General features: G+C 36.7%; 1 protein-coding gene across 9 annotated transcripts in view, besides 1 other annotated feature; it reads left to right on the top strand.

The window, feature by feature from the left end:
• Positions 1-16282, top strand: part of DST (dystonin) — a 496835-nt gene that overhangs the window by 131507 nt on the left and 349046 nt on the right. The window lies entirely within an intron of this gene.
• Positions 2127-2327: a silencer, noted in NCBI's record as "peak5861 fragment used in MPRA reporter construct". NCBI's record gives its function as "represses an SCP1 promoter by STARR-seq MPRAs in K562 erythroleukemia cells {active_cell/tissue: K562}" and the evidence as "EXISTENCE:reporter gene assay evidence [ECO:0000049][PMID:32103011]".

The raw sequence follows: 16282 nt of genomic DNA, 5'->3' as shown, positions 1-16282 counted from the left end.
CTAGAGAGAAAAGATGCAATTTAGATAAAAGTAACATAGTGCTGGAACATGTGGAACAAAAATACTGAGGGGAGGCTCAGAATAGGAGTGTGCCTTTAGACAACAATGGCAAAATTCACGGACAGACTTACTTAGAAATTTGTTGGGAACTCAGAGAATAGTGTTGTCCCAGGGTGTTCTTTGTTTACTTTAGAGATAGTGTAGGCTCACCACCTGTAATCCCAGCACTTTGGGAGGTCGAGGCAGGTGGATCACTTGAGGCCAGGAGTTGGACACCAGCCTGGCCAACGTGGTGAAATCATGTCTCTACTAAAAATACAAAAAAAATTAGCCAGGCTTGGTAGCGGGCACCTGTAGTCCCAGCTACTCGGGAGGCTGAGGCAGGAGGATTCTCCTTGAACACGGGATTCGGAGGTTGCAGTGAGCCAAGATTGCGCCACTGCACTCCAGCCTGGGTGACAGAACGAGACTCCTTCTCAAAAAAAAAATAAATAAATAAAATAAAATAAAAATAAATAAATAATAGTGTAGCTTTTTTTTTAAAGTGGCTGTATATAGTTCTAGAACCTCTAAATATAAAAGGTCTAGAGGTATACTGCTAGGGTCAGCACATATATAGCAACTTCAGGTAACAGGAAATTTAATGTTACCTATTCTATCATTTTAATGATTTATTTGAGGATCTGGGAAATTTTTGTTGCTGTGAACTTTTACTTTTTACTTCAGAGGCAATACTCTTGATTCTGCCTACTCCTTTCTGATGGTTCTTCACCTGGCTTCATACAGTTTCTTTACACACATATACATGGTACTCAGGTAAGAATGCAACCCCTTGCAGATCTCTGGGATTTGCTTTTGTGCAGTCTCTTTTGGTTCTCTGCTCTGCAAATTCTAGTTGTCTTGACCTCCTCAGATGAACTGTCTCTTCACCTGAGGGAGAACTGCTGCCTCCCCCTGCGTCCCATCCCCTCCCTGGTTTCTTCTTCCTGTACCATATCCTGGAAACTCTCCAGGCAGTAAGCTGAGGGTAATAGTAGGACTCACCTTGTCTATTTCTCTTTTCTCAGAGATGACACTCCCCTGTGCTGCGTGTTGTTTATTGCCCCAAAACTGTGATTTCATAAATTTGTGTCTGTATATTTAGTTATTTACAGTGGAGAATAAATCCCGTCTCTGTCAGTATCATGCTCAGAGGTAGAATGTCCTCCTTTTCTCTTTAAATAAAATTCACATGTACATAAAATTTGCATGAATTTTCTTTAGAATTAGATAGACTATAGAAATGTTGTGGGCTTATAATCCGCAAAGTCTTTAATATACTCTCTATCCACATCTCTCTTAATAAACGTGGATAAAGTGCATATTAAAGACTTTGATGAAAGTCTTTGATGGAAGACTTGGATGGAAGCTCTGGACTGAGCTTGGTGATGGTATAGCAGGGAAAAAAGTCTAGTCTGAGTTCATGTATTTGCCTTTGTGTTAAGCTAACCCTAAAAATATTAAAGTTGGGTCATAGCTGGATAATTAAGACATGATAGGTCAGATTTCTATATTTTCCTACTAATGTGAATGTTCCTATGTGATATTTAAATTTGGATCAGTTTAGTAAAACTGTTTTCATAGGGCAGTCAGAGAGGAAAGATTCTTTTTGTAGTGACAGTACATTTATTCTGAATGATAATAGGGCAGAATCATAATGCCAAGATTGTATAATTTAGCTCCTGCATTTTATTTCTGAGAAGAATTAGGTTCAGAGATATTCAGCTCATAGAACTAGTTAGTACTAGAGTTGGAGCTGGAGCCCAGTTATTCTCATTTCTGGTTTAATGCTTTTTCCACTTAATCATGCTGCCCAGAGAAAGTCCTTGTACTCTTTAAGCCCCCAGACATATGCAGTATACTTCTACCTCCTGGTCCTGAACACATAGGGTGAGTCTTGAGGGCCCAGCCAGCTTGCTTCCTTGCAAGCTTCATTCTGTGCTGTGTAAACATTGCCACGAATTTGACATGAATCGAAGTACTTAGCTGATCCCTTTGAACACATTATTTATGCCATGTATTGCACTAGATCCCAACAGAAGACATGCAGTGAGTAATTGGAGTACCTGACCATTATTTTGAAAGTTAATATTTGTGTTTCAGCTAGAGTGACTGTGGGCCTGTTTGATATTGACTTGAGTTGCTAAGTAATGTCAGAAGGTCAAAACAATTTTAAGAGATGTGTGGACTGTATCTGATGACAGTTTGGCACTTAGCTTTTATCTCCTTAAGGTGGCCTCCATATTGAAGCATGGCAGATTAGCCGTGTTATTTTAAAAGAATACTGAATCTGTTGGGCCTTGGCAGTTTGGAAAGGCAAGGCCTCTGTCTGGTGTAATTGTAGGCAAAGGTATGTGGTCCTTTAGGGACACATTTTTGAAAGGGAACCTCAGCTTGGCAGTCAAGTTTGTATACACAGCAACGTATAGGGAGAAGAAGTAAAGATAACTAACATTTAGATTTGTCATCCTTTTTTTTTTCTGTGAAAAAGAAACTAAAAGTAAAAGAAATTAGAGATAACTTGTAATAATCACTATAATAATAGGCAGTAATGTACTGGTAAGTATTTGGCAACCAGCTATTTGGGGAAAAACTCTTGATTTTATAGCAGTTTTTCATTTTCTGGTGTGAATACTTTTACTATGGCTGATTTCGGGTGACCAAGTTGATGTCACTGCGTGCAGAGTTGGGAAGAGATATGCAGTAGCATATCTATATCATACAATATTTCCACTATACAGATGGACTAGATGTAAACAAACTCGTGTAAAGATAATAGCAAATGTAAAGAAATTAGTTAAGTGATGAGTTTTGAATATTTATTATCTTTGTTGTTGGTGTAATTTATTTAATTGAAGGCTGATGTAATTTAATTTTTAATGAAGGCTTTGCTTAACAATTGGCTAACACAATTGTGAAAATTCAACAGTCCACTCTCAAGTTGTTATGAGTTGGCTCTAGCATACTACTGAAAACAGGTAACACTTACAGAACATGTACACTGCCTTCCAAGCATAGTATAAGTGTTTTCTGTGAATTATGTCATCCTCAAAGCAATGACTTGAACTAGGTACTTAAAGTATCCTTATTTTGCAGTTGCTATAGTTGAATCACATAGTGGTTAAATAACTTACCTGAAGTTACGGTTTGAAAACGGCAGAGCTGGGATTCTAAACCAGGCCATCTGTTTCTAGAGCCTATGCTCTTAACCAGCTTGCCATACTGCCTGTTGAGGTTACAGATATTCTTGAATGTGAGGCAGTAGTAGCTATGATAAATTTTAAGTAAATTACTCATGGTTCAGAATTATTTTATGACTTGTTTCAATAATTGTTTGGATTTTATTTGAGTTTTATTTATGACGAAATGTTACTATCCTTAATATATGAATGCTTATATAAATCAACAAGAAAAGCTATTCTCTCTTCAGTAGGAAAACAGACCACAGACTTCAATAGGCAGTTCATAAGAAAAGAACTAACAATGGCCAGTAAACATTGAAGGCAAGGACAGTGTCCATTTTGTTCATTGCAACATTAACCCAACCCTTGCAGAGTGCCTCTATAAATGTTATTGTAGTACCTGTTAATTTTTTATACATTTTAATAAAGTACATAAATATTTCCTGTCCTTTTGCTTATACTAAGCTATTTTCTAATGTTGCCTTTAAATAATTGAATTTTTAAAGAAAGTGTTTCTGATTATATAGTTAGAGACATTTTGTTATTAAAACTCCCTAAGTTCAAACAAGGATGAAGAGGCCTAATAAATTACTTTTTTCCTAATTATAACTAATCAATGTATGCCGTTGTATATAATTTCACTAAGTAAAATGGAGGTTCTTAAACTTAAGAGACCTACTGAAATTATGAGAAATCTCTGTGTAATTTCTAGAAGCTTTAAGTTACAAGTAGTGATATTTTAATGCATTGAGCTATTTTATCTACAAACCTTGTTGAGGAACAGTGTACCCTGGAAGTTCAGAGACTGATGTTTTTCCTTTGCGGCTTTTCCCAGTTTGCCATCTCTTTCTCCTCTCTGGTAGATGTTTTAGCCGTGTCAGAGCTCAAATATACTTCTGATGGATGTTGTGAATTATTTTGAGAAATAATAAAATGTATCAGAACAATATTTCTGGTGCTGACAGCTCCTTTTTGGAGTTTAGGAATTTGAAATTTCTGAAATGGCTTAAAGGAAGTGTTTTAGTTGCATTACTAGACTTGTCATCCTTGGTATAGATAAGCCCTTGCTGTAGTATTTTTTTTCTGAAGATGGAAAAGTCAGTAAGGGTAAAGGTGGGAAAAATGGACAAACATTGATTGAATGATGATCCAGGGTCAGACCCAGTGCTAAGTGTATACATGCGTTATTCATCAAAGTAAAAGCTTTCTTATTCAGCAATTCGGAAAAAGCAGTTGGCGGGGGTGGTAGGAAACCAGTTCCTATGGAAAGTATGCAGTTCACTAAAAGGTAATAGTATTGCTCTGTGACATTGTTTACATATCAGAGTACTTTGAAACCTTTGGGATCAGAACCCTTTTCTGTGTTCCAGAAACATCCCAAATAAAGTTGGCCAGAATATTAAGTTTTTGGCTGAAGTTATATTACTCTGAATTTTATGTTGATCAGCATATATCTGACTGACAATGCAGTGTGTCTTATACTTACTAAAAAGGAAAATCAATTATTATTTATTATGTTTAGTTCATTTGGGAGATGACACACTCTTCAAATCATTGGAGCTATGAAGGATGGAGCATGAGGTGGAGTAAAAGGGGTGTTTACTATGGAAAAGGTTAATGATTGTTGCTCCATTTGGTCTGTCATATGACTTCTCATGCCATCACAGATCAATGTATTATAATAAAAGATACAAACAGTATGCATTACCCATGTTATATATACACCCATGTTTCCTTTGCTGAGCCTCCAGGAGGCAGAAACCTTTCCTTCTGAACCTTAGTTCCCCCCCTGCTTTCCCTCCTTCCCTTCATGATAACAGTGGTCCTTGTTTTTTTAAAAAAATTGGCATTTTTCCCTAGAAGGAAATTGTATTAGTTTCCTATTGTTGCTATAACAAATAATCACAAACTTAGTAGCTGAAACAACACAAATTTATTACCTTACACTTCTGGAGGTCATTAGTTCAAAATGGACCTTACAGGTATCAGCAAAATTGTGTTCCTTCTGGACATTGTTGGGGAACATTCATTTCCTTGCATTTTCAGGTTTCTAGAGACGGGCTTCATTCCTTGGCTCATGGCTATGTCACTTCCACCACTGCTTCATCTTCCCATCTTCTGTCACTCTGATTCCCCACCTCCCTCTTTTGATAACCCTTTTGATTACATTGAGTCCACCTGGATAATCCAGGCTAGTCTCCCCATCACAAGATCCTTAACTTAATCGTATTTGCAAAGTCCCATTTGCCACTTAGGGTAACATATTCATGGGTTCTGAGATTAGGATGTGCACATCTTTGGGGAACTATTATTCTGCTTGCCACAGAAATTTTTAGAACTTTAAGGTAAAATACCAGGTAGCACAACCATTCCTGTATTGGTTTATCATAATGGAGACCAGGGATGGTGTCTGCAACCTTTAGAGAAATCATCATGATTTCCTTTAACACATAAAAATATGATTTCATAAAAAATGAAGTATGACAAACTTGGCTAATTATGTACTGTTTTGAATACAAAGGGGAGAAATACTCAAAGGAAATATGACTTGATATTTTGCCATAGAGTTTTGTAATAAAATGCTAAGGCTATTGAAACAAAACAAACAAAAGAAAACTTTTTTTCCCCACAGTATCCCATCAAAAGTTTTATTTTCATAAATTGCTTTCCAAACATCCAACCTGCATATCTAATGACCATCTTTTGTCTTCTTCATCTGAAAAGTAAGATAAAGTCATATGGCCCTTAGATTCTTTTAGAAAGCCTATGTTATTTTCTTAGTTGATTTAAGTCGTGAAGTTGCTTTTATTAATAGAACTATTTCTATTCTTGTTCATTTAAGAAAATTATAATATTAGATCAGTAAGGTTACCTGAAGAGACACTAGAAAGGGAGATGCCAGAGTGAAAAGTAGTAGTCCTTGTTAGTTTTTTTATAAGTATTTTTAGTCCTCTCTTTTTCCCTCCTCATTAAAAAAAAAATTTAATTTACTTTGTGTGTGTGTGTGTGTGTGTTTAAGTGGCTTAAAGCTACACCCATTTATCTCACTATTTCCATGGGTCAAGAGTCTGGGCATTCCTTGGTAGGTGAGTTCTTTGACCAGGGTTTCACAGAGGCTGCATTTGTAGTTGGTTTTTGGAACATTGTGAAATTATAATCTAGCAGAGACTATAAAGATCTTCAGGAGAGAATTTTAAACATAAATATGAACATTATTGCTAACAAGCTGTACTTTATATATGGTAGGAATATTCTGAAGAGCATAGAAAAAGCAAAAAAAAAAAAATCAGCCTATTTAAAATAGCTTTCTCCTTCTACTTAGAATATATTTACGAACATAGGAAATTTGAAATTAAGGGAAACATAGACCAACCCGACTGCGAACTTTGAGGCTTGTTGAGTGTCTCCTGCTAACTACTGCCACCTCAGTCCTGCACGCGATAGGGGATTCCTATGGTATTGTTTATTTCATAGATAAGGCTTGTTAATAAACTGCCAGGATGCTTATAATGAGCAACGAGAACAATCACAAAAGAGTGCTGTTGCTATGCAGTTGAACCATAGGCCTATAATAATACATTAGGGACAAAGATAAGTGTGCTTACACATGCCACAGCTTTTGGGTGCTCTTCTAAATCTCTTTATTGGCTGAATCTGCATGAAGTGGATGAAGCCTCTTCTGTGTGCAGAAGAGGGCATATTAAAGGGGCTGTAGAAACAGGTCTCACTATTCTCCTCAGAGTATCGAAGTACTTTTTGCATTAGTTTGGCGCTACAGGAAGCGAAAAAAATATCAGGTAAGCAGTTTGTCAAGGTTCTTAAATTTTCATCAGCTGATTAAACCCTGTGACTTTGGGTTTACCTCATGTTATTGAACCGACTTCAGTAAAGGGGGATATAAAATTGGAATTAAGTCAGCAGGAAGTTTTAGGGGAGAGATTGTGATATTAATGAGATTGAGGGAGTACTCCTTTCAGGGTGTTTATTTTTCTACCCTAAAGTTGCCCCTTTGATCAGAGATGCTTTGTACGGACATTTATGGCTAGAACCCTAAAATCTCACGGAGAGTGGAGGAAGAAAGAAAAGTAGATAAATTACTCAATCTTACTTTTTTTCAGAGTCAGGGAATGAGACCATGATCTTTCATCATTTTGTTATCAGATACCCAAATTGTATGAAATCATCTTTGTGTCCTGAATGCCTTATGTCTATTTAGATGCTAGCAAATATTTGCTAATAGTAGATTAAAACACATTTTATTTAATAGTCTTGCAGTGTTTTTTTTCATTTAATATAATTGATATTGTTTGGGTAATTATTGGCTAAAATATTTAAATTAGAGTGGGAAACCAGATGTTTACAATATTTTATAATCTACTTTCAGGGTCAGCTGTGCTTGTTTAACTTTAGTTGCACTCCTGGTGTCCTCTGAAATGGCTCAAGCTCTGAACTTAGGGGAGGCAGAGGTGCTGGGACTTGGGCTTCAGAGGCATCTTCCATATCTCTTTGTGAGGATCATCTTTAAAGGGCATGTGCACAGACCTTTCACCCAGTTCTAAAAGCAGAGTATTTCTGTGATTTAAAAATTGCTTGAATTGGTCATAATCCTTTTTGGAAAAAGATGACAAACTCAAGCTAGATAAATACAGTGCTTAATTAATTTGCTCAGTGTAGATATGATATACTAAAGCTGTCCTGCCCTATAAAAATAAAGTGGTTATAAATGCCTCAAATTTAAAATTTGTGTTTATACGTATACCTTGGTGTGACAGGCAACTATGAATAAAAGAAAAACAAGTCTTATATATACTGCACATTATAGGAAGCTGTGTGCATTGGCCTTATTTATAGCTCCATTTTCTATTCATACCCTATTCTCCTCCCTACTTTTCCCTTTCAGGCTAATGTTTCTGTAAAACTTTCTGCTTGCCAGATACTGTTCTAAATGCTTTATATATGTTAAATTAATCTGCATAGTGCAGTAAACATTATAATTTTTATTTTATGGATGAGGAAATGGGTGCACAGAGAGGATAAGCGACTTGCCCACGGCCACACCGGGATTATAGCGAGTGGCAGAGCGGTGATTCTAACCTCGGCTGTGTGGCTCTGCAGCCTTTGCCCCCTCATGTCTCACCTACACTGTGCTGTCTCTGCCACCGTCCTGCCTCTCATTTATCTTGCTGTAATTTTGTAAGTGACTTCAAATCATTTTTGGAACATGGTGGGAGTACCACTGAACAAACAGATAAAAGCTTTCAGTGTATATTTTGCCTCTCTTTTTGTTCAATAATATTTTGATTCAGCAATTAAACTTTAAATATATCATTAGTTATTTTTGACGAAGTATACCTCTAGAGTTACCTTTGGAGTCTTCTGCCAAACATCTTAAGAGTAGAGAGTTCATTTTCATTTTTCAGGGTTTGCTTTTAATAGTTCTGTGGCGTGGTGCAATTAGGCTTTTCTTTTCTGAAAGCACAGCTGTAACTTGCTGTGACAAATGCTGTTGAAGGAAACTGCTGCATTGTGAACAGAGTGGAAAAAGAGATGCCTCAAATTAAGTGTTTTCTTTGGTCTGTCATAGACTTATTAGGAGGTTAAATCCTGCTCTGCAGGACTGTTAGTGGCAGGTGCTATTTCTGTCACCAGGACGGTCTCTGCTAATTTTTAATGCAGCGACATCCCCAAATAGAAGCATTCTGTCATTCTCTCAGTCCTTCCATTTGTGGAAGGATTTTGATCAAAGAGTGTTTTTGCTTTTTATTTATTTAGTGAGCAATAGCATCATATTTCATACAAAAATACCTTGTGTAATGGTAAAAGTAAAACTTAACAAAGTGAAATAGTTTGTTTTCTTTGCTCATTTTCCACATACATGAATTTTGTATTTTAAAAATGAAGTAATTTAGAAATATGCCTTCATTATGCGAACCTATATTTGTTTATATAATAAATAATAATGTGTAGTTTTGTCTATATATTGAGACCATCACAATTACTGCTTTCTTGTTTTTATTTTCTCTTTGAGAATCAATGTATTTTTGAGTTAGTAATACAAAAAGCATGTATAGACTTAGTAATTTCTTTACATGAGTAATGAAAGATACAGATTTTTATTTTATTTGACTACATGGTAACTTTTTTTTCCTCATGCTTAAAATAAGATAGATCTGTTTTAATACCTACAAGGTTCTTAATGATTAAAGTTTTAATCTCTTGGGGCATGTAATCTTGGATTCCAAAGAACAGCATCATAATGAAACTCTAGTATAATGGATTAGAAAAATTTCCACAGAAGGAATAGACCTGTAAAAACAAATAGCAAAATATTAAGGAGCAACCACAAAAACACCATCTCATTTTTGAATTTTCATTTCCCCTCCTTTGCTATAGCAATTATCCATTAAGAACTGTTTTTCTGAAATTCGGCTGGCTTAAAAGAATGTTTTTCTGAAAAGCGTATCTCAAATTTATATTTCAATTGCTTGTTAAATAGTAGGAAACTAGTTTTATTATTTATACGTGTTTTATTTGTATTGTAAAGGAATAACTGTTGGTAGGTAAAAGAACTGGAATATTTTAAATATTTCTTTGTAGTTTCTTTAGGCAAATTTGTATTTCTTAAGAAATAGCATAAGAATTAAGTATATTAACATCGAATTTTAAAAAGTATTTGCTTCGTAAGTGGACATTTTATTTTATTTTTTTTTTTATTATTATTATACTTTAAGTTTTAGGGTACATGTGCACAATGTGCAGGTTAGTTACATATGTGTACATGTGCCATGCTGGTGTGCTGCACCCATTAACTCGTCATTTAGCATTAGGTATATCTCCTAATGCTATCCCTCCCCCCTCCCCCCACCCCACAACAGTCCCCAGAGTGTGATGTTCCCCTTCCTGTGTCCATGTGTTCTCATTGTTCAATTCCCACCTATGAGTGAGAACATGTGGTGTTTGGTTTTTTGTTCTTGAGATAGTTTACTGAGAATGATGATTTCCAATTTCATCCACGTCCCTACAAAGGACATGAACTCATCCTTTTTTATGGCTGCATAGTATTCCATGGTGTATGTGTGCCACATTTTCTTAATCCAGTCTATCATTGTTGGACATTTGGGTTGGTTCCAAGTCTTTGCTATTGTGAATAGTGCCGCAATAAACATACGTGTGCATGTGTCTTTATAGCAGCATGATTTATAGTCCTTTGGGTATATACCCAGTAATGGGATGGCTGGGTCAAATGGTATTTCTAGTTCTAGATCCCTGCGGAATCACCACACTGACTTCCACAATGGTTGAACAAGTTTACAGTCCCACTAACAGTGTAAAAGTGTTCCTATTTCTCGTTAAGTGGACATTTTAAATTAAATGAGAATATTTGCATCTAGGGTTGTAATATGGTAGTATATTGTGAGGTTTGATATTCAAGACTGTTTTATTCCAGTGTTTTATGGCAGAATTTGAGATTTTCAATAATGTCCCACATTTAAGACATTTGTCTACTTTATTTAGCACACATGTTTCAGAATATTAAAAGCTGTTTTATTGGCAAGTAAATCTTAGTTTAGATCTCTCATTTGAAATATTTCATCCCTTATAAGATTTACCTCAGAATGTTTTCTCCTCCTATAGAATACAGTTTATGTTTCAGGTTTACTCTTTTTAGATGTTTTTCTGAAAAATTTTATTTTAGATTTATTAGTAAATTTTCATCTTAATTAGAATGAGTTATGACCTGATTAAGACATTTCTTTCACTTCTGTCTTTTTTTAGCCAGTAGAAAAACATTTGAGTTTATTTTTAAGGGAGTGATTTCAGTTTCAAACAAACAACAAGAAAAGCCTGATATAAAATTAAGTAAGCTGTTTAAAAAACATGCTATCCATGTTACAGAACTGTGAAGAATTTTTGTCAGATTTATATCAGTTGCCATAGAATATTTTCTTTTTTCTTTTCTTTTCTTTTCTTTTCTTTTCTTTTCTTTTCTTTTTTTTTTTTGAGTCAGAGTCTCTTTCTGTTGCCCAGGCTGGAGTGCAGTGGTGTGATCTCAGTTCACTGCAATCTCCACCTTCTGGGTTCAAGCAGTTCTCATGCCTCAGCCTCCTGAGTAGCTGGGACTACAGGTGTGCTCCACTACGCCTGGCTAATTTTTTTTTTTCGTATTTTTAGTAGAGATGGGGTTTCACCATATTGGCCAGGCTGGTCTCAAACTCCTGGCCTCAAGTGATCTACCTGCCTTGGCCTCCCAAAGTGCTGGGATTACAGGTGTGAACCACTGTGCCTGGCCTGCTTTTGTCTTATCAAGGAACTTATATTTCTAATCACTTTATCTATTAATAAAGAAGTGAGTGCTTTCTCTTGTTTTCAAAGTGGTCTTGACATTGATATATCAGATTGTGGTTGGTGAAAATGAGAAAGACCTTTGGCAGGTCACCTTGTGTTTACCAGGCAAATGGGAAAATAAGGCTGACACAGTTTCATCATCAGCTGGTAGTTAACTTTAAGCTTTGTTTTTTTCTTCTCCATTTTAAATGAAAGATAGTATCCAATTTACAAATGGATTTGCTTCACAGTTTCTTTTTAAATGGGCTTAAATGGATCTCATAATAGCACATTTCCTTAACATGTTCTGTTAGGAAACCAAGGCATAATATTGATGATGCTATAGCATCCTGACGTTTTACTTCATTCCATTCAGAAAATCCAGAGCTGGGTCCATGGCCCATTTCCTTCTGGTAGCAGGGGGAGAGGACCTGGCTTTTCTCTGGATCCCTCCCTGGTGTCAGCTGAGAGACTTTCCTGGCTTACTCCTTTCTCTACTGTCAGGGACCCAGTACTTCCTGCTTCGTCTCTCAGGTTGGGGCTGGGAACATGCTCCCCATCCTACCTTTTTTTTTTTTTTTTTTTTTTTTTTTTGAGACAGGGTCTTGCTCTGTCGCCTAGGCTGGAGTGCAGTGGCACAATCACAGGTCACTGCAGCCTCTACCTTCCAGGCTCAAGTGATCCTCCCACCTCAGCCTCCCAAGTAGCTGGGACTACAGGTGCATGCCACCATGCCTGGCTAAATTTTGTAGTTTTTGTAGAGATGGGGGGTCTCACTATGTTGCCCAGGCTGGTCTTGAACTCCTGGGCTCAAACGATCCTCCTGCCTCTGCCTCCCAAAGTGCTGGGATTTCAAGCAAGAGTCACCATACCCAGCTTCCCATTCTACTTTTTTCTCCCAGGTTTTTTGCTGGTCAGAACTCCTTGAAAACCTGAGGTGTTCCAGCCTGAAAGGAGGCTGTATCTTGTTCTTCTTAATGAAGATGACATGATGTAGCAGGAGGAATAAAACACATTTGGAGTCAGGATACCTGGAGTTACCCTGATACTGCCTTTTTTTTTTTTCCCTGTGAGACCCTGAGCAAATCATTTGCCTTTTAATTTTGGTAGGGGTGGTGGGTGTTTAGTGTATGTGGTGTGTAGTTTGCATTATGTTACATCTGATGTCCCTCACTGCTTTAACATTACATACCACATATTTCAGAAGAGGATTTGCAAATATGATCACATATTTCAGAAGGGGATTTGCAAATTATTAGGTTCTTAAAAGGTAGGAACATAAGATTTTTAACATAGAATTTATGAACTTTTACACATGGTTGAACAAGAAACTCCTTAGAATTCAGATGTTTATACTTGGGTATGTTATGAATAACTGACATAGTCTCAGTGTATTACTATAAAATGCTGCCATTTCTGGAAGGGGTGGTATCATGTTGTGTGTAGATATAATACATATATTTTTAAGAGATGGGAGTCTTGCTCTATCACCCAAGCTGGAATGCAGTGGCACAGTCATAGCTCACTGCAGCTTTGAACTCCTGGGCTCAAGCGATCTTTTCATCTCAGCCTTCCAAGTAGCTGGAACGTGCCACCATGCCTGGCTAATTTTTTATAGAGGTGGGGTCTTGCTATGTTGTCCAAGCTGGTCTCGAACTTCTGGCTTCAAGCAGTCCTTCTGCCTTGGCCTCCCAAAGTGCTGGGATTACAGGTGTGAGCCACTTTACCTGGCCCATAAATATATTATAACTAAAATTTGCTCTTTAACTGTTTACTGAAAGTACGGGTTGTCATCCTTTTATTTTCTATAGGCCAACACGTTTAGTGCTACTAGGAGACAAAAATAATAAAGTAATACTGATAGGTAAAAATGCTATATTTAAAATTCCTAAAAATTTGCATATCAAAATTTAAGTTGTTCATATAATTTCTTAGGGGAAAATGAAGCAGAAAGAAGTTTATTTAAAAGTTATACCCTTGTGATTGAAAATCTGTCTAAAATATATCAGTTTCTTTTCTTGTTCTAGTTCAAGGTGGTAAACATAATTAAGCTTTATTGAGTATCTTGCCACAGAATGAATCATGAATGGTTACGTTTACTATGATTTTATCAATGATCTATGTGGAAGGTGGGAGATTAAATTAAATGTGTGCAGGCATCAGCCAAAAATTTATTAAATATTTTAATGCTTTACATTTTTTCTTTCAGGTAGAACTATGAGAGATAGTATATTGCAGGCTCTAATTTCTTTGGTTTCTAATGTTTGACTATATAAGAATATAATCATCATAAGATGGCAATATTCATTATTAAATTTAATTTATGCTACCACTCAAATGGTTAGGTTGTGAAATAAGATTGTTTAATAGTGTTTGAAAGATTTGTATACCCCTGAGACTCTAGCTAGCACCCTGACTGATGCCCTGACAGAAAAAGATGATTGGAGCATTCAGAAGTTATGCCTCACTCGGGGAGGGGCAGTTGAGATTTGTTCCCTGATACCAGACCCATTCCTTGAATACTTTGTGACTGATGAGATTGACTTTGGAGTGGGAGACAGAGAAAGAATTTGGGGTGCGGTAGTATCTTGGAGGCTTAAGGGAGAGCACCAAGAAGCAGATCACAGGGCAGAAGAGGGATGAGTGCCTTTCAAGAGAAGGTGGGGAGGTTTGAGAGGAGTGAGTCAATAGTGTAGAGTCCTCACACAATCCTGCCTCCCAGCTGTTCCCTTTGCCATCAGATGCTGAGTGATTTGACATTACAGATGACCATGGAGGGCAGTGTGGGTGATGAGGAAGGCTGCACCGCACTGTGGGATTCACATTAGGCAGTCCAATATAAACCAGACTTACACCAGACTCATGCAACAAATTTGCCCACTAGCCATTATTCACAAATTACTGAAGTTATCACTGACTGATAAACACAGAATACCAGCAGGTGGGAGGAAATGTTGTCTAGTTTCTATTATTAGCTTGTGCTCCATCTGCTGATTATAAAAGTTTCACTGGTTCATTTATTTTAACCTCTCAATTGAATCTTACTGCAGGAAAACAAATTGTAGAATACATCTTACTAGTTGTGGGAAATCAAATTTAATTTGAATAGCAAAAAGTAAATAGAATGATATTTTATGCTGAATCTAAGTAGCCACATCCGTAGTCTTCTTTATTAAAGGAATGTTGGGTTAGCTCAATTGTGGATAATTTTATTATTTTCATTTAGGAAACAATTACAACATATTAGATAAATGGTAAATCATTTTTTACCCTTTCTTCTCCATGATTTAAAAAATAAGAATGGAAAACATGAATTTTACATTTTTTTCCCACTGCATTAAGTTTTATTATTACTGTGGTTTGTTTTTATTTCAAACTTTTCATGTTTCATGTCTCTCAACGCTTTTTGTCCTCAAACTTTATTGCTGGAGTATTTAATAGCAAATATAAACGATTCCTATAGACTTTTGTATTTTTGAGAAAAAAGTAGCAGCACGGACAATCTCAGTTGGTTTTTTTTTTTTAAACAAAGTACTGTTTTTCAAAAGAAACTATAACAAACAGTTGTGGACTTTGTTAGGGCTTGGGTAGGTGGGCCAGAAGTCATGGGGTGTTACTTGGATGACGTCATAGCTCAGGGTCTGGTTCTTAGCCCAGGGAGACTCACCCTTTCTAGGTAAACAAACTCCAAGGTGCCTGATGTTTAAACCAGAACTTGTTTATTAACGTATAGTGAAAAGAATTCAACAGCCAAGTGGTTTGGACATTCATGTTGGATAGAAGACTAGTACATTTTTTTCTATCAGAAAATCTGTATGAGAAGCCATAGTATGCCTGGAATTGGAAGTAATAGGAATTATGTTTTGACCAGCAAAAAATTTTTATTGGGATGAAGTCCAGCCTACCAATTTTTTTCTTTTGTGGTTCATGCTTTTGATGACATGTCTAAGAAGTTGTTGCCTAACTCAAGATTATAAAGATATGCAGCTACATTTTTTTCTAGAAGTTTTATAGTTTTGTCCCTTACATTTAGGACTGTGGTCTGTTTTGAATTAACTTTTGTGTATGATGCTAGGTAATATGCTAGTTACGTATGAATGTCTAGTTTTTCCAGCACTATTTGTTGAAAAAACTGTCCTTTCTTCCGTTGAATTAACTTGGCACCTCTGGGAAGAATCTGTTGACCCTATATTGCTAGGTCTGTCTGGACCCTGTTCAGTTCCATTGACCCGTGTGTTTAATTTTATGCCATTACCACACCATCTTGATGATGATAGCTTTAAATGTTGCAATCAGGTAATGTGAGTCCCAGTTTGTCCTTTTACGTAATTGTTTTGGCTAGTCTGTTCCTTTATATTTCCATGTAAATTTTTAAATCAGTTTATCAGTTTCTATAAAAATGTTTGCCATGATTTTGATTGTAATTGTGTTGAGTCTAAAGATCAGTTGGGAGGCTGGATGCAGTGGCTCACACCTGTAATCACAACACTTTGGGAAGCCAAGGTGGGTGGATCGCTTGAGCCCAGGAGTTCAAGACCAATCTGGACAACATGGCAAAACCCTGTCTCTACAAAAAACACACACCTCTAGTCCAGGCTACTTGGGAGGCTGACATGGGGGGACTGCTTGAGCCTGGGAAGCGGAGGTTGCAGTGAGCTGAGATTGTGCCACTGCACTCCAGCCTGGGGGACAGAGCGAGACCCTGTCTCAAAAAAAAGGTCAGTGGGGAGAAATTC

This window comes from Homo sapiens, chromosome 6, assembly GCF_000001405.40.
Source record: "Homo sapiens chromosome 6, GRCh38.p14 Primary Assembly".
Taxonomy (NCBI): domain Eukaryota; kingdom Metazoa; phylum Chordata; class Mammalia; order Primates; family Hominidae; genus Homo; species Homo sapiens.
This window is presented reverse-complemented; position numbering and strand designations above follow the sequence as displayed.